Source organism: Homo sapiens, chromosome 9 (genome assembly GCF_000001405.40).
Source record: "Homo sapiens chromosome 9, GRCh38.p14 Primary Assembly".
Lineage (NCBI taxonomy): Eukaryota > Metazoa > Chordata > Mammalia > Primates > Hominidae > Homo > Homo sapiens.
In genome coordinates this window covers 132,363,314-132,386,281 of record NC_000009.12, presented here as the reverse complement: position 1 = coordinate 132,386,281, position 22,968 = coordinate 132,363,314, and the positions used below count along the sequence as shown (strand labels likewise).

Below are 22,968 nucleotides of genomic sequence, written 5' to 3'. Positions count from 1 at the left end.
TTTTCTTCCCTTTTTTTAGTGTCACATAGATCATCACGCCTCAGGTGTTTTGTGATTACAGATTTTAGCTAGAGCATAATACCTATGGCCCACCCACCTCCCTCCTATTTCAGTTTTCCAGTGGAAAAATAATCGTGTAAGGAAGTATTACCATACAGTCGAGTTGACCTTGGCAGGCATTGGAGGTGATATTATAGGTACTTTAGTAACAATGAAGTGAATTTTCCCAGTACATACCTTTTATCAATTCCAATTATTGAAAAATCAAAGGCTCAGAATTACTCTTCACCCACCAAATACGAGGTGCCTATATGCCAGGCATTTTTCTAGGCTCTGGGGATACAGCATTGAACAAAAGACAAGTTCCTTGCCTGGTAGAGCATCCATTCTGCTGACACAAATGCCAAGTTTTGTATAGTATAGAATTAACCTAAAAACTACATTGATGATAACGATATCAAACTAATAATAATTATTGACTACCTTCTGTATACCAGGCACAGAGTAGGAACTCACATTTAGTTCTGGGAAGAGACTGTAAACAAATAAGCTCATTTCAGATAGCATGGTACCAAAAAGAAAACAAAAATAGAGTAGAAGGGACGTCGGGGGCAATCAGATAGAGTGGTTAGGGAAGACTATGGAAGCAGAAGCGGTGGCAGGGTAGCCATGCGGGGATGAGACTGAAGATGTTCGGACAGAGAGTAGTGAATGCGGACACCTTGAGCCAGCACTGGCTGGGCACATTCAAGGGACTGGAAAGGGACCAGGTGGCCCAGAACAGTGAGTAAAATGACGGCAGCGATGGGCTGGGTGCGTGTGCAGGCCAGACTCCCACGCCTCAGGGGACTTCAGACAGTTGACAACTCAGCACACGCTCCAGACATCCAGGAGTTCCAGTTACCTTTGTGTACCCAATTTGGAACTTTGTAAACACTAGCAATTCTCTGGTTTTCAGCCCAGCTCTCACTTCAAAATCATCTGGGGAACTTTTAAAAAATACCAGTGCCACGTGAATGGGATTGGTCTGGTGTGGGGTCTGGCTTCGCATGAATGGGATTGGTCTGGTGTGGGGTCTGGCTGTCAGGATTGTTCAGAGCTCCAGGTGACTCAGATGTGTTACCCTGCCGAGACCCCGTGCTTTAGCGCTGGTTAAATGACTTGGTCGGTTCCCAGTTAGAACGTTTTAGTTGTGTGTAACAATTCAAATACAGAACTGAATATCATGCCCCACCCATAAGGAAAAAGGACTTGACTGTTCAGTTTGATTTTGCTGTTTTTCTGGAATAGGTAATAGATTACGTAGTCCAGAATTAAAGAAACGTAGGCTGGGCACGGTGGCTCTTGCCTGTAATCCCAGCACTTTGGGAGGCCAAGGTGGGCAGATCACCTGAGGTCAGGAGTTCAAGACCAGCCTGGCCAACATGGTTCAACTCCGTCTCTACAAAAATACAAAAATTAGCCAGGCATGATGGCAGGTGCCTGTAGTCCCAGCTACTCAGGAGGCTGAGGCAGGAGAATCGCTTGAACCCAGGAGGCGGAGGTTGCAGTAAGCCGAGATCATGCCATTGCACTCCAGCCTGGGCAACAGAGCAAGACTCCATCTCAAAAGAAAAGAAAGAAAGAAAGAAACCTGAAAGGAAACACAGTGAAAAGTGTCCCCTTACCACTCACCAGCCACGCGTAGCCCTACAGGAAACCAGTATCTATTTTCCGTAGATGGTTTATGCAAAATGTCTGCAGGATCTGAGTGATGTTCTGATGGCTAATGTTGGCTATTTATACCTACTCTCTTTTGTTACTGCTTGAATAGGAGTTACCAGAGATTGTCTTTTCAAAGCACCAGCTTTGATTGCGTTGACCCTATCTTGTGATTATTCTAATGTCAGCTCTTTATCACGCCCTCCCTTCAGCTCTCTTTGAGTTTATTTTGCTGCTGTTCTTCAACTTCTTGAGATGGGTTCTTAGCTCATTTTCCATTTTTCTTTCTTTGTAATATACATTTAAGGCCATATGTTTTCTTCTAAGTACTGCTTTATTAGCAATGCCCAATTATTTTTTTCAGAAACTTTATTAGGAAAATTTTAGACAGATACAAAATAAATGAAGCTTCATGTACCCATCACCCCAGTTCAGCAACTGTCAAAATCCAGCCGTCCTTATTAAACATCTACATTCACTCCCTCCAATTACTGTTATCTGTTTTGGTAAATTTTACATACTTTGCAGCCTTAGTACCATTCAAAATTCAAATAATTCTAGTAATTCCATTTCTAGAAATACATTCTACAAAACAACTTCACACATACATGAAATGACTTGTATACAGAGTAACTGACTGCAAAAGGCCTGTTAATAGGGGACTGGCTATATATGTATTTTACCCATATAGTGACATTCTTTATAGCTACAAAAAATCATGAGAAAGCCCCTCGGTGGTGGGGCAAAGAAAGCGCCAAGATACAGTCTTGGGTGAGGAAACACTGCGTGGTTGCAGGGTGGTGTGCCAGCGCCACAGAACAGGAAAGCTGCAATGTGTGTGTTTATTCGAGACTTCCAGTCTCTGTGCTCTGGACCAAATAAATCAGACCAGCCCTCCCTCCAGCCCACCTGCCACCGAAGACACCCAAGAAAGGCAAATGAAATGTATGCAAAGTCTCTTAAAGGCTTCAAAAAGCTAAACAAGTTGCAAGAGTAACAGAAAGAACCCCGCATCCCCTTTACCCATAGTCGCCTCTTCTGAACATTCTGCTACGTTCACTTTATCATCCCTCTCTCCCTCCTCCAAGGGAATACGGTTTTTCCCATAACCATTCAAGAGTTAGTGGCAGATACCACTTCCCAAGCAAGGATGTTATTTTACATAACCATAGTACAATCGAGAATCAGGAAGTTTCACATTGATATAGTACACCCTCTAAAACATAGTCCACATTCAGATTTCACCAGTTGTCCCAGTAATGTCCTTGATAGCATTTTCCCCCTTTAATAATTGTTCCATTTCCTTAGTGTCCTTTTTTTTTTTTTTTTTGAAGACAAGAGTCTTACTCTGTTGCCCAGGCTGGAGTTACAATGGTGTGATCTCAGCTCACTGCACCCTCTGCCTCCCAGGTTCAAGCAATTCTTGTGCCTCAGCCACCTAAATAGCTGGAATTAGAGGCATGCACCACCCTGCCTGGCTAGTTTTTTTTTTAATTAGTTAATTTTTTTTTTTTTGAGACGGATTTTCACTCTTGTTGCCCAGGCTGGAGTGCAACAGCGTGATCTCGGTTCCCTGCAACCTCCACCTTCCGGGTTCAAGCAGTTCTCCTGTCTCAGCCTCTGAATAGCTGGGATTACAGGTACCTGCCACCATACCTGGCTAATTTTTGTATTTTTAATAGAGACAAGGTTTCACCATGTTGGCCAGGCTGGTCTCAAACTCCTTACCTCAAGTGATCCACCCACCTCAGCCTCCCAAATTGCTGAGATTACAGGCGTGAGCCACCACACCTGACTTTTTTTTTTTTTTTTTTTTTTTGTATTTTTAGTAGAGATGGGGTTTTGCCATGTTGCCCAGGCTATGCTTGAACTCCTGGCCTTAATCCCTCTCAAAGTGCTGGGATTACAGACGTGAGCCACCATGCCCGGCCTTCCTTACTGTCTTTTAATCTATGAAGATCGTCCATCTTTGCTGTTGATGGTAGTGAAATTTTGGAGGAATACAGGCTAGGTGTTTTGTAGAATGTCCGCAGTTGGCACTTGTCTGGTATTTCCTCTTGAGGAGATTCAGGCTGTGTCCTTCGGGCAGGAGTACAGCATATTCCTGATGTTTGCTATCACTGCATTACGTCACAAGGTACATAATTCTCGTTTTGACTTTTTTTTATTATTTAGCTAAGGCAGCATCTGCCTCTTTTCCCCACTGTATAAAAATACTGGTTCTTCCTTTGGTGGTAAGAAATGGCTGTGGGAAGACATTTTAAGACTATATAAAGATCCTGTTCCTCTTTAAGCTTCTGTCAGTTTCCTTGTGGTTTTCATTTGCATTTCTCATGTGAGAAGTGAGATTGAACATGGCTCTTGTGTTTATAAGCTGTCTCTCTTTCCCTTCACTGTGAGCCTTCACTGCACATAGCTCTTGCATTTTAATCAGTTCCTGCGATTGGAGGGCCCACCACTCTCGATATCTCAACTTACTGCTTGCTACGCAAGGGAGAGCTGGGCTGCAGAGCACAGGCCCTCTACGTGTTGCCGAGCATCATGGGGCTCGGGGATCAGTGACTTTCAGATGCAGGGATGTTGAGGGATTGTTTGGCCTTTGGTTTTGGAAGGTAGACAGTGGGGTGAGGCTGCTGCAGCCTGGCTGACTTCCAGAAGTGTGGCTACTGGTGTGAGGTCGCCATTGGTCCATTAGGAAAGATTTTGTTTTGTTTCTAGTCAATATTCTGCGGAACCATTAGGGAGGGTTTAAACTGGTTCTGGTGGTTAGTTATTTATGGTTTGGGATTATAACCAAACAAGAAAGGACAATCCGTCTCTTCCTTCTTGAATGTGGAGAATTGGAAATTCTTAGTCCAGGCCCTGCCAGGACTCACAGATACATGCCGTGGTCCCAAAGTCTTTTCTTTTCTAGCTCATCTGAGGGGCAGGGTGCCCACTCTTCAGCATCATAGGCCCCAAGCAGGGAGGGTGCCAGGTGCTTTGAAGGAGGTGACGCTGATGTGCACCCCACCAGCTCCCATCTTGAGAACGACTTACATTGACAAAGCCCTTTATAATGTCAAACCACTTTTTAAAAATTCAACTTTTCGGCCGGGCGTGGTGATTCACGCCTGTAATCCCAGCACTTTGGGAGGCCAAGGCGGGTGGATTGCTTGAGGTCAGGAGTTTGAGACCAACCTGCCCAACATGGTGAAACCCCATCTCTACTAAAATACAAAAATTAGCTGGGCGTGGTAGCAGGTACCTGTAATCCCAGCTACTGGGGAGGCTGAGGCAGAATTGCTTGAACCCAGGAGGAGGAGGTTGCAGTGAGCCGAGATTGCGTCACTGCACTCCAGCCTGGGCCACAGAGCCAGACTCCATCTCAAAAAAAAAAAAAATTCAGCTTTTCCATTAAATTTGTGTATGCTTTGTGACATTTCTTCAGATCACATGATTTTTAAAACTAAAATGGGTTTTTATGGTTTTAAATAAAATTACATGTTTAAAAACTGATTATTAAGCTGCACGTGGTGACACATGCCTGTTGTCCCAGCTACTCTGGAGGCTGAAGTGGGAGGATCGCTTGAGCCTGGGAGCCAGAAGTTGCAGTGACCCGAGATCACGCCACTGCATTCCAGCCTGGGTGACAGAGTGAGACCCTGTCTCAAGAAAATAAATTAAATAAAAATAAATAAAAGGGCCCCACAAAATCCAGGTAGGGGGTAACTGATGAACTGATTACCTATTTCAGATTTACGAATCTCAAAACTCTAAGATAGAGATTATGGCATCTAGTCAAATACTATTTGAAATACTACGTACTCTCAAAGTTTTAATAACAAAATGGTAAAAATTATATTGAAGGTTCAGTCTCCTCAGATTCTTAAAGACTTTGTGAATTATATAGGCAGGATTTAAGGATAGCATCTCCACCTAATGAGGTGTAACACTTGCTTGGTTTTAAAACGTCCAGATCAGTTCTTGTTGCTTCCTGAAGCATGGGCTTGGGTCTGCAGCATGTTGGGCGCACAGCATTATGGGAAGGGAAAAGGCACAGGCTGCCGTAGAGCTGGGGTTTCAGAGTGAGACAGATTTGGCATAGAGTCCAGGGACTCCACTTAAAGTCTGTGGGCAGTTGTTCCCTATTTGTCTGAGCCTTTGTTTCCTCATCTGCATTATGGTTTAATAGGCTGTCAGGAAGGCTAAAGGAGATAATGGGCCAGGTGCAGTGGCTCATGCCTGTAGTCCCAGCACTTTGGGAGGCCAAAGCAGGTGGGTCACCTGAAGTCAGGAGTTCAAGACCAGTCTGGCCAGCATGGTGAAGCCCTATCTTTACTAAAAATACAAAAATACAAAAATTTAGCTGGGCGTGGTGGTGGGCACCTGTAATCCCAGCTACTCAGGAGGCTGAGCCAGGAGAACAACCTGAACCTTGGAGGCAGAAGTTGCAGTGAACTGAGAATGTGCCTCTGCACTCCAGCCTGGGTGACAGAGCGAGACTCCATCCAAAAAAAAAAAAGAAGATAATGCGAGAAAGAGACATTGTCTGGTACCTGGCACATACGTCCTCAGCTAGTGGTTGCTGTGATGAAGAGGTCGGAAGAATCTGATCATCTTTTACCTCTACATACTTAGCAGATCAAATTCTTCATGCTAATCATTTTAACAACTGGATTAGTTAATTGTTTTTTAATGTTCCCCTTTTATTAGGAAAAAGTGCCCAAAAAGTTTAGTGGTTTTTTACTTTAAAATACAATTTAAGAATAATTTCTGACCCACTTATTGTAAATTGAAATGTTTTGTAAATTGAAAACGTACCAAAACCTCATAAGCATCTGCTCTTTTTAGCTTTGTGAAATAAACATCAGGGAACATCTGTCTTTGAATTGTGACCAATATGTATGTGTCCTGAGTGTAATGGTTAAGAGGGTAGGATCTGGAGTCACACTACTTGATGAAGTCCCAGCTCTATCCCTGATTAGCCATGTGAGCTTGGGCAACTTCTCTGTGCCTCAGTTTCCTCGTCTCTCCAGCACGAGGGAGAGAGTGGTAACTCCCTCCTTGAGTTGTCGTGAGGATTATTTATTGCTGCAGTTAAGGTGCTTAGGGCAGGGCTGAGCACAAGGTAAGCATCAGCCCGTTAGCCGGCATTATACTTTGCCTTCTATACTTTGCCTTCTCGACTAGTGATACAAGTTATCTTAATTTAAATAGAATCCATTCTGTACTACTGATTCTTTTTCCCCTTTACATTTTTTTAAACCAAATAAACAATAGCTTTCCATATTCCACAAAAATTGTGTCATATTTGTATCACACATGTATGATGATCTTATGTTTACGATAAAAAAAACTATAAACCTCACCTGAATAAATGTACTTACTACACTGTATTGAAATGATAGATTTTTAAACTAACTTGCTTTTTATCTTTTCTTTCCTTTTCTAAAGTGATGTTCCTCCATCTTACGTTCAAACTAAATTTTCTAGGCTGAAAGCTGTCTATGTTCCATTTTGGCAGAAAAAGACTTTTCCAGGTTAGTATTCTTAATATTTATATGGCTAAGAACATGGCATTTGGTGCCACATGCTGGTAATGAAAGTCACCTAGGCAGGTGACTGGACTTAGAGCCTCAGCTTCATCAGCTGCAAAATGGTGGAAACAGGCAGATTATAATCCCTATCTGACAGGACTTCCAGAAGTCCTAAATGAAGCATGAACGTGTAGGGTGTGGTCATCCCGGTGCTTGACACTTAGCGACCACTCTGTAAATAACTGAGTCCTGCTGGTGTTGCCATCACACACACACACTCGTGCACACAGCACATGCACACATGACATGCCCGTGCACCACACCACATGCAAGCACTCACACACACCACATGCACTCACACCACATGCACTCACACACACCACATGCATGCACTCACACACGTATGCACTCACACCACATGCACTCACACCAACCACATGCACTCACACCACATGCACTCACACCACATGCATTCACACACCACATGCACTCACACCACATGCATTCACACACCACATGCACTCACACCACATGCACTCACACCCACCACATGCACTCACATCACATGCATTCACACACACCACATGCACTCACACACACCACATGCACTCACACCACATGCATTCACACACCACATGCACTCACACCACATGCACTCACACCACATGCATGCACTCACACACACCACATGCATTCACACGCACCACATGCACTCACACCACATGAATTCACACACACACCACATGCACTCACACACACCACATGCACTCACCACATGCATTCACACACCACATGCACTCACACACACCACATGCACTCACACCACATGCATGCACTCACACACCACATGCATTCACACGCACATGCACTCACACCACATGCATTCACACACACCACATGCACTCACACACACCACATGCACTCACACACACCACATGCATGCACTCACACACACCACATGCACTCACACCACATGCACTCACACACACCACATGCACTCACACACCACATGCATTCACACACACACCACATGCACTCACACCACATGCATTCACACGCACCACATGCACTCACACCACATGCATGCACTCACACACACCACATGCACTCACACCACATGCATTCACACGCACCACATGCACTCACACACACATGCACTCACACCACATGCACTCACACACACCACATGCATGCACTCACACCACATGCATTCACACACACCACATGCATTCACACACACCACATGCACTCACACCACATGCACACACACCACATGCACTCACACACACCACATGCATTCACACGCACCACATGCACTCACACCACATGCACTCACACACACATGCACTCACACACACCACATGCACTCACACCACATGCATTCACACACCACATGCACTCACACACACCACATGCATTCACACGCACCACATGCACTCACACCACATGCATTCACACACACACCACATGCACTCACACACACCACATGCACTCACCACATGCATTCACACACACACCACATGCACTCACACTACATGCATGCACTCACACCACATGCATGCACTCACACACACCACATGCATTCACACACACCACATGCACTCACACACACCACATGCATGCACTCACACCACATGCATGCACTCACACACACCACATGCACTCACACCACATGCACTCACACACACCACATGCACTCACACACACCACATGCACTCACACCACATGCATTCACACACACACCACATGCACTCACACCACATGCATTCACATGCACCACATGCACTCACACCACACGCATGCACTCACACACACCACATGCACTCACACCACATGCACTCACACCACATGCATGCACTCACACCACATGCATGCACTCACACACCACATGCATGCACTCACCACATGCATGCACTCACACACACCACATGCATGTACACACATACACAGAAGCATACACATATTCCAGAAAGAATAAAAGACACCCAGTTCCTTCTTTGTAGCCATTTGTGGGTGGTTTAGATATGTAAGTCCCAAACTCAGATCATCAGAGCCATGTGAGGAACTTGTTAAAAACACAAATTTCTGGCCAGATGCAGTGGCTTATGTGTGTAATCCCAACACTTTGTAAGACGAGGAGTTCAAGACCATCCTGGGCAACATAAGAGAGACCCTCCCACACACACACACCTATCTCTACAAAAAATACAAAAAGTGTCCAGGCATGGTGGTGCTTGTCTGTGTTCCCAGCTACTTGGGAGGCTGAGGTGGGAGGGGGAGGCTGAGGTGGGAGGATTGCTTGATCCTGGGAGTTCCAGGCTTCAGTGAGTGTGATCGCACCACTGCACTTCAGCTGGGGTGACAGAGCGAGACCCTATCTCAAAAAAAAAAAAAAAAAAGGATACAGATTTCTGGGCCTCATTTCAGACCTACGTACCAATTCCTAGTCTCTAGACCGAGTCCAGAACCTGGATTTTCACTAACGAGCTTGCAGGCCTGTGCTCTCTCATGCAGTCTGCACGGCACTGGTATTTCTCCTGGACCTGCCATTTGGGTGATATCGTACCCTGGGCTGTGATGAAATGCGTCTTTGCGTTCAGCAGACATCACTACCCGAGTTTGAATCCTTATGAATTCCAAGGCCTCGGGCAAGTCTCTTAATGTCTTTATGCCTTGGTTTCCTCAATTGAAAAACAAGTTAAAAACAGTGCCTACCTCGTAGGATTTTTGCAAGGATTGAAGAAGTGAATGTGGGTAAACCAATTGGAACCAGACCTTACACACAGCAATAACAAGAGCAGTTCATATTCATTACCAGCCTCCTGTATGCCTCGACCTTGATAAGAGGCCTTGTACAGACAGATAACTGCACAATTAAATTTCTTTTCTGTAGAGATCATCGACTACCTTTATGAGACGACTCTACCTTTGCTGAAGGAAAAGTTAGAAAAAATGATGGAGAAAAAAGGCACTAAAATCCAGACTCCTGCAGCACCCAAGCAAGTTTTCCCATTTCGAGACATCTTTTATTATGAAGACGATAGTGAAGGAGAGGACATAGAAAAAGAAAGCGAAGGCCAGGCGCCATGCATGGCTCACGCCTGTAATTCCAGTACTTTGGGAGGCCAAGGCCGGTGGATCATCTGAGGTCAGGAGTTCGAGACCGGCCTGACCAACATGGTGAAGACCTGTCACTATTAAAAATGCAAAAATTAGCCGGGTGTGGTAGTGCACACCTGTAATTTCAACTACTTGGGAGGCTGAGGCAGGAGAATTGCTTGAACCCAGGAGGTGGAGGTTGCAGTGAGCCAAGATCGCACCACCGCATGAGAGAGAGAGATTACTATTTCTTGTCCCTTTTTCTCAGTTTGATTATATTTATATACATATGTCAGTAAATCTGTTTTCAGTATTGATGTTTAATAAAGAATGTACAATGGCCAGAGTTCTACTCTTTCCTCTGGAGCATTAAAATATATTGCCATTCCTATTAAAACGTATTTGAATGTGAAAAGAGAGGAACATATGAATTGATTTAATAAATAATTACAACTAATGGTTTTATTAAATGACAAAAGTTTCACAAATCCCTCTAATTGTAGCAGAGAATAGGGTCACATTCTATGAACATTTCATTACGTGAGTTCAGCTATATGGGTACTGAGCGAAAATGAGAAAGGTAACAATTTCGAAAAAGCATGCCCTTCTGCTGTGTTTCCAGTTGTTTAGATGTCTGCTCTCCATGTATATATGGATCACATTCGTGTTAGATGGAAGTTGTGAATCCACTGTTCTCTCAAACCGGTCTCTTTCCCTTGTACCTATCATAGTGTACATAGCTCAACTTCCTGAGTTTGATTCTAGTGTTCAAAGATAGGTATTTTTCATATAAGATGTCCTGTCAAAGCAAGTCATTGAACTTACCTGGTATTTAACTGAAAACAAACAAAAATCAGCAATCTCTTCCATTGCTTGTAGAAATACTGACTTAGGCCAGGCACAGTGGCTCACGTCTAATCCCAGCACTTTGAGAGGCCAAGGCAGGAGTATCACTTGAGCCCAGGAGTTCGAGACCAGCCTGGCAACATAGTGAGAACTTGTCTCTGTAAAAAGGAAGGAAGGAAGGGAAGGAGGGAGGGGTGGAGGGAGAGGAGGGGAGGGGACACTCTGTTATACTTATCGAAAGGTGCTATCCAGGTGTGGTAGTGCAGCCGATAGTCTCAGCTACTCAGGAGGCTGAGGTGGGAGGATCACTTGAGCTCAGGAGTTTGAGGCTGCAGTGAGCTATGATGGTACCATGTACTCCAGCCTGGGCAACAGAGACAGACCAGACTCCTAAAAAAAAAGAAAAGAAAAAAAAATGTGTCAGTGTCAACACACAACTCCTGTTGGATATTCAAAGATAATTTCAATGGTGGGCTATTCCATCAATCAGGAAAGCAAAACCACCCGAGATATTTCAAATGGAGAAGAACTTAATATAAATTTTATGTTCCTTTTGGAGGGCAATTTGGTAAGATACATCAAAGCCTGAAGAGGCCGGGCATAGTGGCTCACACCTGTAATCCTAGCACTTTGTGAGGCCAAGGCAGGCGGATGACTTGAGGTCAGGAGTTTGAGACCAGCCTGGCCAACATGATGAAACTCCATCCCTACCAAAAAAAAAAAACAAACAAAAAAAAATTAGCTGGGCATGGTGGCGTGTGTCTGTAATTCCAGCTACTTGAGAGGCTGAGGTAAGAGAATCGCTTGAACCTGGGAGGCAGAGGTTGCAGTGAGCTGAGATCACACCACTGCACTCCAGCCTGGGTGACAGAGACCCTGTGTCAAAAAAAAAAAAAAAAAATTAACAGAGGCTGGGCAATGGTGGCTTATGCCTGTAATCCCAGCACTTTGGGAGGCTGAGGTGGGTGGATCACTCAAGGCCAGGAGTTCGAGACCAGCCTGGCCAACATAGTGAAAACCCATCTCTACCAAAAATTAGCCGGGTGTGGTGGTCTGCGCCTGTAGTCTCAGCTGCCCAGGAGGCTGAGGTGGGAAAATAACTTGAACCTGGGAGGCGGAGGTTCCAGTGAGCCGAGATCACGCCACTGCACTCCAGCCTGGCGACAGAGTGAGACTGTCTCAAAAAAAAAGTGAGTCAATGTTCTGGTTTCAGATCCTATAAATCTCACCTTTTACTAAAGAAAGTGACTCAGAAAGCGAACAAAGGTAAAAAGAGAAAGACAATACCCACCTCACAAGAACTAAGGCTGTGGAACATGTACAATTGGTTTTGTTTTTGTTTGTTTTTTGGAGACAGAGTCTCTGTCACCCAGGCGGGAGTGCAGTGGTGTGATCTCGGCTCACTACAACCTCCGCCTCCCGGGTTCAAGCAATTCTCCTGCCTCAGCCTCCTGAGAGTAGCTGGGATTACAGGCGTGAGCCACAGCACCTGGCCCATAAAATTGTTTTTAAACAGCCTTGACTATGCATTATTCGAGTTCTTGGCTCAGTTCTTGGTCATTTTGTCCTTGTCCCTAGTCATGTGTTTCAGCTGTTTGTCTTCACTGATGGACTTCATTACCCAACAAAGTGGCCCAGCATGGCAGATACCAAGTAGGTCAGAAATTAGCATCTTAGCCAGACCAAGACATCCACTGACTTCATAGCACCACCTTCACTTTGACAAGTGCAGCTCAACAAACATTGGTGAACACGTGCAGTGAGCCAGGTACTGTTAGGAGCTAAAAAGACAAGCATTGACAGGCCAGGCACAGTGGCTTACGCCTGTAATCCCAGCACTTTGGGAGGCCGAGGCGGGAGGATCGGGAGGTCAAGAGTTCGAGACGAGCCTGACCAACATGGTGAAACCCCATCTCTACTAAAAATACAAAAATTAGCTGGGCCTGGTGGTGCGTGCCTGTAATCCCAGCTACTCGGGAGGCTGAGGCAGGAGAATCACTTGAACCCAGGAGGCAGAGGTTGCAGTGAGCCGAGATACCGCCACTGCACTCCAGCCTGGGCGGCAGAGACTCCGTCTCAAAAAAAAAAAAACAAAAAACAAGCATTGACAGTACAGCCTTGGGGCCTGCTTTCTTGGAGGCTACACAGTCCAGCACTTCCTGAACACCATTTCCTGTTTATTTCCTGAAATACATGAGCAGGCATTCTCAGCCTCCCTCGGTGCTATCAGGTCACTCCCAGCTTACCCAGGCTGTCACATGGTCCCTTGCCACAATCACCTTCCTGAACACCCTCCATCCTGGCATTCTCTCCCCCTGAGGCACTTCCCTGTTTAAGACACCAGATCTGGGTGAGCCCTTCCCTTTGCCTGTTACCTGCACCTGAAGAGCTGAATATTCCCAGAAGAAAATTACAACTGAGCTGGCAGATTTCACTTTAATGATGATAAAGCTCAAACGGACACAATGTTACCAAAGGATGCTACTCTGAATCTCTAGTAGGCTTGCTTTGCTTTTCCCCACATCAGCTCACGTGCACAGTCAGCCCTCTCACACTCCCTTTCTGCCTCATGTATAATCCACTTAGGAAAGTGAAGCCATAAGACATAAGCTCCCTCCTCCCTCCACCAAGCAGACAAACCTACCTCCAGCCACACTTACGCCGATCCCTACACCTAAGCTCCTGCAGCCCATCCCCCTGCTTTTTTTTTCCTTTTTTTTTTAAAGAGACAGGGTCTCACTGTGTTGCCCAGGCTGGAGTGCACCATCACGACTGATTGCAACTTTGACCTCCCGGCCTCAAGCAATCCTCCCACCTCAGCCTCCCATGTAGCTGGGACAACAGCAGGCATGTGCTACCACACCAGCTAATTTTTATTTTTTATTTTTGTGTAGCGACATGGTCTCCGTATGTTGCCCAGGCTGGTCTTGAACTCCCGGGCTCAAGTGATCCTCCCACCTCTGCCTCCCAGTGTTGAGATTACAAGGTGTGAGTGCCTGGCTACCACCTGCATTTTCTGAGATTTTGATATTTTGTTGATCCTTCTCCTAAATTGTCAGCCTTCTGTTCTGGACCATTAACACCATACAAACAGGCTCTAGTGTAACTCATCTTAATTTAAAATATGTGTGTATATATGTATATATATATGGACTCAATTAGTTTCTGCTACACTCCTCCCGCTGCACTCAACATTGAAAAGTTAGTGTTCCTCAGAGCTCAATTTTGGGCTTCTTCACATTCTCTCCATGCCTTGAAATAATGTGTATATGCTGATCCCTCCTCCCAAGTGTATAGTTACAGGTCAGATTCTCCCCCGAACTCCAGGATAAAAAAATTCATCTGCCTACTCACTATCTCCACTCAGGTATTACACCTGAAATCTATTATATTACAAATAACTTTCTTTCTTTCTTTCTTTCTTTTTAGATGGAGTTTTGCTCTTGTTGCCTGGGCTAGAGCGCAATGATGTGATCTTGGCTCACCGCAACTTCCTCCTCCCGGGTTCAAGCAATTCTCCTGCCTCAGCCTCTCAAGTAGCTGGGATTACAGGCATGTGCCACCACACCTGCCTAATTCTGTATTTTTAGTAGAGACGGGGTTTCTGCATGTTGGTCAGGCTGGTCTCGAACTCCCGACCTCAGGTGATCCGCCTGCCTCGGCCTCCCAAAGTGCTGGGGTTACAGGCGTGAGCCACCGCGCCCAGCACAAATAACTTTCTAATTGCTGACACCCATCTCAAAATCTGTCACTTGTCCCCCGGGCTTCCTCATCTCTGCCAGTGGTATTGTTACCGGGCATCCTGTGTTGGAATGGATTCTTTAACCAAGATCAACAGAGCTGGAGCTCTGGACCAGCAATCTCAGTTCTTGTGATAGTGAGCAAAGAATTGCAAACTAGGCTGGGCTCACACCTGTAATCCCAGCACTTTGGGAGGCCAAGGCAGATGGATCACGAGGTCAGGAGATCGAGACCATCCTGGCAAACACGGTGAAACCCCATCTCTACTAAAAATACAAAAAAATTAGCCGGGCATGGTGGCGGGCGCCTGTAGTCCCAGCTACTCGGGAGGCTGAGGCAGATTGCGCCACTGCACTCTAGCCCGAGCGACAGAGCGAGACTCCATCTCAAAAAAAAAAAAAAAAGGCAAACTAACACTGAAATGCAAGCTTACAGCAAGATTTATTGCAACACAGTAAAACACTCTGAGGGAGAGCAGGCTCATTTCTGGGAAGTAAAATCAGCCCCTCTTTACAAAAATCAAGGTGCTTTTATGGGGTTTGTTGGAGGAGTTGAGGCTTGGGCTGTGTTTGAGTGACAGGATGATATCATTTGATTGGCAGTTTATGGTTATATCCCTGAAGTTAAACTGCGCATGTTTTTACCCATAATTCATTAAGAAAAGCCCACTCAGAGAGGCAAAACCACATGTAAATTTTATTATAACGACTATAATGAGGATGGGTTTTCCCTGGGTTATGGCCTACATGGACTGGGCACGTGTGGCTTTAGGCCATCGTTATCTGTGCCCCAGTTTTTCTTTCTCCAGGATGTGCTGGCCCCAGATTGTACCATAAATTCCATCCATTAGGGTGGAGTTAGGACGGTCTCAGGCTGAACTTAGGTGGGCTAGGGCTGGTCTTAGTGACAGCCCTCCTGCTTTCTTCTCTCTCCCTCTCCCAGCTGCTAATGTCCATCTAACTACCTAACAGTATTGTCGTTCTGTTTGTTCAAGTCAGAAACCTAGAAGTCATCCTGTTTCCATCCTTTCCTCCAGGACCTCCACATCCAACCTAAGAGCAAACCCCACCCCACCACATTTGTCTCCAAGCCCACCTGGACTCTAGTCTAGCCACCTCCACTGCCACCTGCCGTGATCTCAGGCTTCATTCTCTGAGTTACACTGATCTCCTTGCTTCCCCTACCAGCCCTTCTCCAATCTGTAGTCCCCACATCTGCACAACTGATACTGCACCACCCTGTTGAGAACCTTGAAATGGGGCCAGGGGTGGTGGCTCATGCCTGTAATCCCAGCAATTTGGGAGGCTGAGGCAGGGGGATCACCTGAGGTCAGGAGTTCGAGACCAGCCTGGCCAACATGGTGAAACCCTGTCTCTACTAAAAATACAAAAGTTAGCCAGGTGTGGTGGTGGGAACCTGCAATCCCAGCTACTTGGGAGGCTGAGGCAGGAGAATTGCTTGAACCCAGGAGGCAGAGGTTGCAATGAACCAAAATCATGCCATTACACTCCAGCCTGGGTGATAGAGCGAGACTCTGTCAAAAAAGAAAGAGAAGACAGAGAGAGAGAGAGAAAGTAAGAGAGAGAGAGAAAGAAAGAAAGAAACCTTGAAATGGCTTCCCACATGCTTTTGGATAATATTCAAACTCTATGTCATCGTGTCTACAGGGGTTTCGCACAATGTGCTGTTGCTGATCTCTTCAGCCCTGTCTCAGGCTCTTATTCCTCTCACCCACCACACTCCAGGAACCTGCTGTTGAATGAATGAATGAATAGCAGGAAACACCCCATGGCCTTTGCAGGTACCGTTTCTTCGCTAGAACAATGCAACAAAACTTTGCAAGGCTGACTCCTCATTTAATTTTCTACTCAATGGAAAAGAGTGGAAGGTTCATTTTTGCAAGACTGACTCCTCATTTAGGTTTCCACTCAAATGAGGTTTCCTCAGAGAGAAGACATTATCTGACCTCCCCCCGGTGCCAAGTAGACCCCCATGAATTTACCTCATTCTGGTGTTATGTGTATAGCATTTATCTCTATCCTGCTTTTTGAATTACTTTTTTACTGCCCAGCTCCTGCCTCAGAATATAAGCTCCAAGGAAGCAGAAATGCATTTATTCCCACATCCCCCAGAACCTTGAATGGTGTCTGGGTTGACTGAATGAATGGAAGGAAGGGAATAGTAGGGGAAGGAGGAAAAGAGGAAGGAAAGAAGCCAGGCAGGAAGACAATAGACAATCACAATCATGTTGAATGCTACAAAGAATTATAGGCAGGGCTATCCTTGCGGGGAAGGGGAAGGGGAAGGGGTGGCTGGCAATTTGGAGGAGGGGGAGCCAGGATTCCTGTCTATATAAGCAACTTGAGACACCCCAAAGTCATTTTCTAGACACCATGCTGGTGGTCCAATCTCAGGCAATTCTGCAAAAGAAACAGCTCACTAGTCAGCTGAATTGGCCCACCACCCTACCTTCCTAGAACCAGAGCCAGACACATAGCTCTGGAAGAAGCCCCTCAGTACAAGTTTCCCCAAGCTCCTGGGAGCATCTGGTCCACCCCACGTGCAGGGGTTAGGGGTAGAGAGTTGGAGGGTGCCCCCAACAGGGAGAATTGGAGCTGAGGACCTCAAAGTCCTGCTCTAGGCTCTGCCCAGGGAAGGTACTGGGCCAGGCCAATTCTCCCTGACAGTAACACAGACAGGCCTGCATAGCACCCCAGTTACACAGACACATTTCCACAGCACTGCCTTAACATTGAGCTAATAATTAGACCCAGAGAAATCGATGCCCAGATCTCAAAGCCAGAAATGAAACATACGTTCAGGAGAAGCTTTGCACAGGCTTCTCCCAAACTTGGAGCAAGTCAAGATAATGGAGACAGCCTTACATTCCTTGTGCCAGGACCCGTCTCAGGTCAATGAAATCCGGGACGCGTCAAGGTAACAAAGGCAGCTGTGCGAACAGATTTACTGGATAGTCTAAGGCAGCTCTCTGGACCAAACCGTTAAAGAGAGAAGATAGAAATAATCACCTCAGTACCACAGTCCTCATTAATTAGAATTTGGGAGACAGGCCTTGATGATACTGGGGTCCTCATAGATTCATTAAACTTAGAAGGCATTTTTGGCTCCTAACCTTCTAGTTAGAACAAAATTAGTCACCTATAGACTTAGCCGAATGCGATACCACACATAGCCATATAACCCCCACACACGTAAGCACTGAGAAAATTGTAATGCTTCGAGTTGGTCTGGTGAAACTATCTCCGACCTTCTCCCTGTATCTGGTTACAGCAATAAACTTCCTTTCTTAGTTTATCTGCTTCTCGTTACTGAGCCACTAGAACACGCAGCCAGACCCGGCCTGGGCTTGGTCTGGGAACAGTACTGCCAGCCCCAACTTGTCCCACGCAGTAGAGAGGGACTTTGAAAACGTTGAGAAGTCACTCCAAACAGCAAGGGTCCCTGAGGGCTTGCCCAGGTCTGAAGGCGGGACTGAGAATACAGGCCTCCTTGGAAGGGCTTAACCCAGTTGGGAAGGAGAAGGCTCTCGGAACACCCTGTACTCACCCTTGTGTAACTTTCAGCACAGTGGAAATTGCTAACCTAATGCCTGTGCCTCCCTTTGAATGTGAATGCCACTGACTGGTCATAACCACCCTCCAGTGAGGATTTACTCGATGTCTGTTGAATATATGGCAAGATGCAGGGTGCTTTTTACCTTAAACTTTTATGTACTCAAAACTTTTTTCAACATCACTTTTTCCAAGGCCTTTGTAGCTATTTTTTGTTTGTTTGTTTGTTTGAGAGGGAGTCTTGCTCTGTCGCCCAGGCTGGAGTGCAGTGGTGCAATCTCAGCTCACTGCAACCTCCGCCTCTCAGGTTCAAGCGATTCTCCTGCCTCAACCTCCCAAGCAACTGGGATTACAGGTGCCTACCATGATGCCCGGCTAATTTTTGCATTTTTAGTAGTGACAGGTCTTCACCATGTTGGCCAGGCTGGTCTAGAACTCCTGACCTCAAGTGATCTTCCCACCTTGGCCTCCCAAAGTGCTGGGATTACAGGCGTAAGCCACCGCGCCCAGCCCACTGTAGCTGTTTTTAAGAGAAAAAACATATATTAAAATCATTCTGGGTTTTAAAAAAATTGCATAGGGATTTGTTTTTAGCAGTTTAGCAGTGTAGGTATCCAGACTGCCCCGACCTCCCTCTGAACACCAGAAAGGTTGAATAAAGGTTTTATTCAATGTTATTAAATGCATCAATGAGCTGGCAAGAAAGTTGGTGAAAGTGGAAACCCATAAGGTAAGCAAAGCACCGTAGCTGGCCTTCAACCAGTTATTAAATAAAACAAACAGAATAGTAACTGAAAAAAGAAAATAATAGACATATAAAACTCAGTGGAACGGATCAACAAAAAATGGTATACAATAGGATACTATTCAGCCACAAAAAGGAATGAAGTAGTGATCCATGCTACAGCGTGAAGGAACCTTGAAAATATCATGCTCAGTGAAAGGAGCCAGACACAAAAGGTTACATATTGCCTGATTCCATTTATACGAAATGGAATTGATAATTATACAGACAGAAAGCGGATTTGTGGTTGCCAGAGCCTGAGAGAAGTGGGGAACAATTGCTGAATGGGTGTGCGGTTTCATTTAAGGGTAACGAAATGTTTTGGAACTATTTAAAGTGGTTGCACAACATTGTGAGTGTATTACCATGGAACTGTTCACTTCAGAATGGTTAGTTTTATGTTATGTGAATTCCCCTTCAACAATAAAAAAAAAAAAAAAGAAAAAGGAACAAATAGCCACCAAAAATTTTTTATAAAGAAAAGAAAGAAAACCCATCAGTGCAATCCACCATGTTAATAAAGAAGAAAAATTATGAGAAACCAAAAAATAAATTACACTGATAACTTTTAAATCCATTCAATAGGAAGAGATGGCAGTTTCCTTAATTAGATAAAGGTATCTACAAAAACTGGTAGTCAACGTTATTGTTATAGGTGAAAAATTTCTCATTCAGATTAAGAAAAAGAATAATACTCTGAGGTGGGAGGATCTCTTGAGCCCAAGAGTTCGAGACCAGCCTGAGCAACACAGCAAGACCCACCCTCCATCTCTCAAAAAAAAAAAAAAAGAGAATGATGTATACTCTCACCACTTCTTTACAGCATTATCCAGCCTGTGAGTCAAGCAAGAAAAGGAAGTAAAAGCTACGTGGATTGGAAATGAGGATATAAAACTGCTATAATTCAGATGATCTGATTGAAAATACAGGAAATCTAAAAGAATCTTTAGAAAATGTATGGGAATTAATAATTAGGTAAAGTTACTAGATACAAAAACAGAAAATAAACATTTTAAAGTAAATCTCTACTAAATGTCTATGCTGCCATAACAAATATCACAAACTCAGTGGCTTAAAGCAACAGAAGTTTAGTATCTTACAGCTGTGCAGCTGAGAAGTTCTAGATAGCTCTCACAGAGCTACAGTCAAGATGCCAACAGGGCTGCATTCTTTTCTAAGGCTCTAGGAGAGAATGTTCTCTGCTCATGGCTTGGTAGAATTCAGTTCCCTGTGATTGCAGGACTGTTTTCTTGCTCTCTGTGAACTGAAGGCTGTTCCCAGCTTCTAGAGGCCACTGCATTTCTTGGCTTGTGGCTCCTTCCAGCTTCAGAGCCAGCAAGGCCATTGAATCCTTCTCAGGTGGCACCTCTTAGGCCCATTCTTCTGCCTGTCTTTCACTTTTAAGGGTTCATGGAAGTAGACTGGGCCCACCTGGATAACCCAGGCTAGTCTCCCTATCTTAATCTCTCTGATTAGCAACCTTCATTCCATCTACAACCCTTATTTCCTTTTGTGGTGAAATGTAACATATTCACAGATTCTGGGCATTAGGAAATAAATATCTTTGGGGGCCATTCTTTTGCATCCCACAGTCACCATTTATAATAACCCAAAAGACCATCCAATTCCACGCAATGAGGCCGGACACGGTGGCTCACGCCTGTAATCCCGGCCCTTTGGAAGGCTGAGGCAGGTGGATCACCTGAGGTCAGGAGTTTGAGACCAGCCTGGCCAACATGGCGAAACCCCATCTCAACCAAAAAAAAAAAAAATTAGCCAGGCATGGTGGCGGGCACCTGTAATCCCAGCTACTTGGGAGGCTGAGGCAGAAGAATTGCTTGAACCTGGGAGGCCGAGGTTGCAGTGAGCTGAGATCGTGCCACTGCATTCCAGCCTGGGTGACAGAGCGAGACTCCATGTGCAAAAAAAAAAAAAAGAAACAACAACAAAACAACAACAAACTATTCCAAGCAACGACCCTAATAGAATTTGTGCAAGTCCTCCATGCAAAAAACCATAAAATATTGACAAATACTTTTTTTTTTTTTTTGAGGTGGAGTTTTGCTCTTGTTGCCGAGGCTAGAGTACAATGGCACAATCTTGGCTCACCGCAACCTCTGCCTCCCGGGTTCAACTGATTCTCCTGCCTCAGCCTACCAAGTAGCTGGGATTACAGGCATGCGCTACCACACCTGGCTAATTTTGTATTTTTTTTTTTTTTTTTTGAGACGGAGTCTTGCTCTGTCACCCAGGCTGGAGTGCAGTGGTGCTATCTTGGCTCACTGCAAGCCCCGCCTCCCGGGTTCACGCCATTGTCCTGCCTCAGCCTCCCGAGTAGCGGGACTACAGGCGCCCGTCACCACGCCCGGCTATTTTTTGTATTTTTAGCAGAGACGGGGTTTCACCGTGTTAGCCAGGATGGTCTCAATCTCCTGACTTCGTGATCCGCCCCCCTCGGCCTCCCAAAGTGCTGGGATTACAGGCATGAGCCACCGCGCCCGGCCTAATTTTGTATTTTTAGTAGAGACGGGGGTTTCTCCATGTTGGTCAGGCTGGGCTCGAACTCCCGACCTCAGGTGATCTGCCTGCCTTGACCTCCCGAAGTGCTGGGATTACAGGCATGAGCCACTGCGCCCGACTGACAAATACTTTTAAAGACTGTGGAATCTCCTTAAGATAGAATTTGAAGGCTCTTTGTACTTTGGAACTCTATCTGGATTTGGGCCAACCGCAGAATCAAGAAGAGCGTTTTGTACACACACAATTGCGCTGCTGTATTAAACTTCAACAGCTTGCAAGAAGGCATTCATGTGAAGTGGAGAAACTGCAATTTTTTTAAGAGATGGGGTTTCATTGTAGTGTCCAGGTTGGTCTCAAACTCCTGGGTTCAAGTGATCCTCTCGCCTTGGCCTCCCAAAGTGCTGGGATTACAGATGTGAACCACAGTGCCATCCCTAAATTGCAACATTTAAAAGCTGTATTAGGCCGGGTGTGGTGGCTCATGTCTGTAATCCCACCACTTTGGGAGGCCGAGGCGCGTAGATCACGAGGTCAGGAGATCAAGACCAGCCTGGCTAACATGGTGAAACCCCGTCTCTACTAAAAATACAAAAAATTAGCCGGGTGTGGTGGCACATGCCTGTAGTGTCAGCTACTAGGGAGGCTGAGGCAGAAGAATCGCTTGAACCTGGGAGGCGGAGGTTGCAGTGAGCCAAGATTGCACCTCTGCACTCCAGCCTGGGTGACAGAACAAGACTCTGTCTCAAAAAGAAAAAATAAAATAAAACCCATATTAATTTGTATAAAATATCTTGCCACGTTCAAAACCACCATTAAAATATACAATGTTGCAATTTTGCACTTAAAGGATATTTTTAGTGTGAAAATTTTCATGAAAATAATATAAGACTTCAACAAAAGTATGACTGTGTTGTATTAAAGACTACTATATTGATTTGGCAAACTTTTGTGACTTGATAAAGGTATTCCCTTCTTTGGATCTGTATTTCCAAAAGTCTTGGATTTAGTATGTATAACTGTGGGCTGATGAGGTTAATTTAAAAAATAAAGACATTACCTGAGTTTGCTGCACTCTCAACTTATACAGAGGAACAGCTGTTCACATCTTTCAGCATTTCACATTTGCCTAACTTTAAAAGTTGCCAGGTGTCAAAAGCATGCTTCTGTAATTGCTAAAGCATGATAC

At 45.2% G+C, this 22,968-nt stretch overlaps 1 protein-coding gene and 1 long non-coding RNA gene across 7 annotated transcripts in view, besides 3 other annotated features; one reads left to right on the top strand and one right to left on the bottom strand.

The window, feature by feature from the left end:
• Positions 1-10,734, top strand: part of TTF1 (transcription termination factor 1) — a 31,293-nt gene extending 20,559 nt beyond the window's left edge. For all 5 annotated transcript variants that reach the window (NR_134525.2, NM_001205296.2, NM_007344.4 and 2 more), the window contains 2 exons: positions 7,138-7,223; positions 10,114-10,734. Coding sequence is in view for 4 of the 5 variants with exons in the window: in NM_001205296.2 (NP_001192225.1) it covers positions 7,138-7,223; positions 10,114-10,367 (340 nt within the window). In the remaining variant the exon portion in view is untranslated. The remainder of the gene's footprint in view (positions 1-7,137; positions 7,224-10,113) is intronic.
• Positions 2,395-2,444: an enhancer, noted in NCBI's record as "active region_29219". NCBI's record gives its function as "activates an Ori minimal core promoter by ATAC-STARR-seq in GM12878 lymphoblastoid cells {active_cell/tissue: GM12878}" and the evidence as "EXISTENCE:reporter gene assay evidence [ECO:0000049][PMID:35858748]".
• Positions 3,862-4,021: an enhancer, noted in NCBI's record as "active region_29218". NCBI's record gives its function as "activates an Ori minimal core promoter by ATAC-STARR-seq in GM12878 lymphoblastoid cells {active_cell/tissue: GM12878}" and the evidence as "EXISTENCE:reporter gene assay evidence [ECO:0000049][PMID:35858748]".
• On the bottom strand, positions 10,622-11,483 carry LOC124902292 (uncharacterized). 2 transcript variants are annotated; one of them, XR_007061828.1, is made up of 3 exons: positions 11,397-11,483; positions 11,145-11,298; positions 10,622-11,041 (listed from the first exon to the last, which is right to left on the bottom strand). It is a non-coding gene; the product is annotated as an uncharacterized LOC124902292 (long non-coding RNA). The 2 variants fall into 2 exon arrangements; XR_007061827.1 differs by having other exon boundaries at positions 10,622-11,298.
• Positions 13,246-13,540: an enhancer, noted in NCBI's record as "tiled region #6614; HepG2 Activating non-DNase unmatched - State 7:EnhWF, and K562 Activating DNase unmatched - State 6:EnhF". NCBI's record gives its function as "activates a minimal TATA promoter and a strong SV40 promoter by Sharpr-MPRA in HepG2 and K562 cells {active_cell/tissue: HepG2 | K562}" and the evidence as "EXISTENCE:reporter gene assay evidence [ECO:0000049][PMID:27701403]".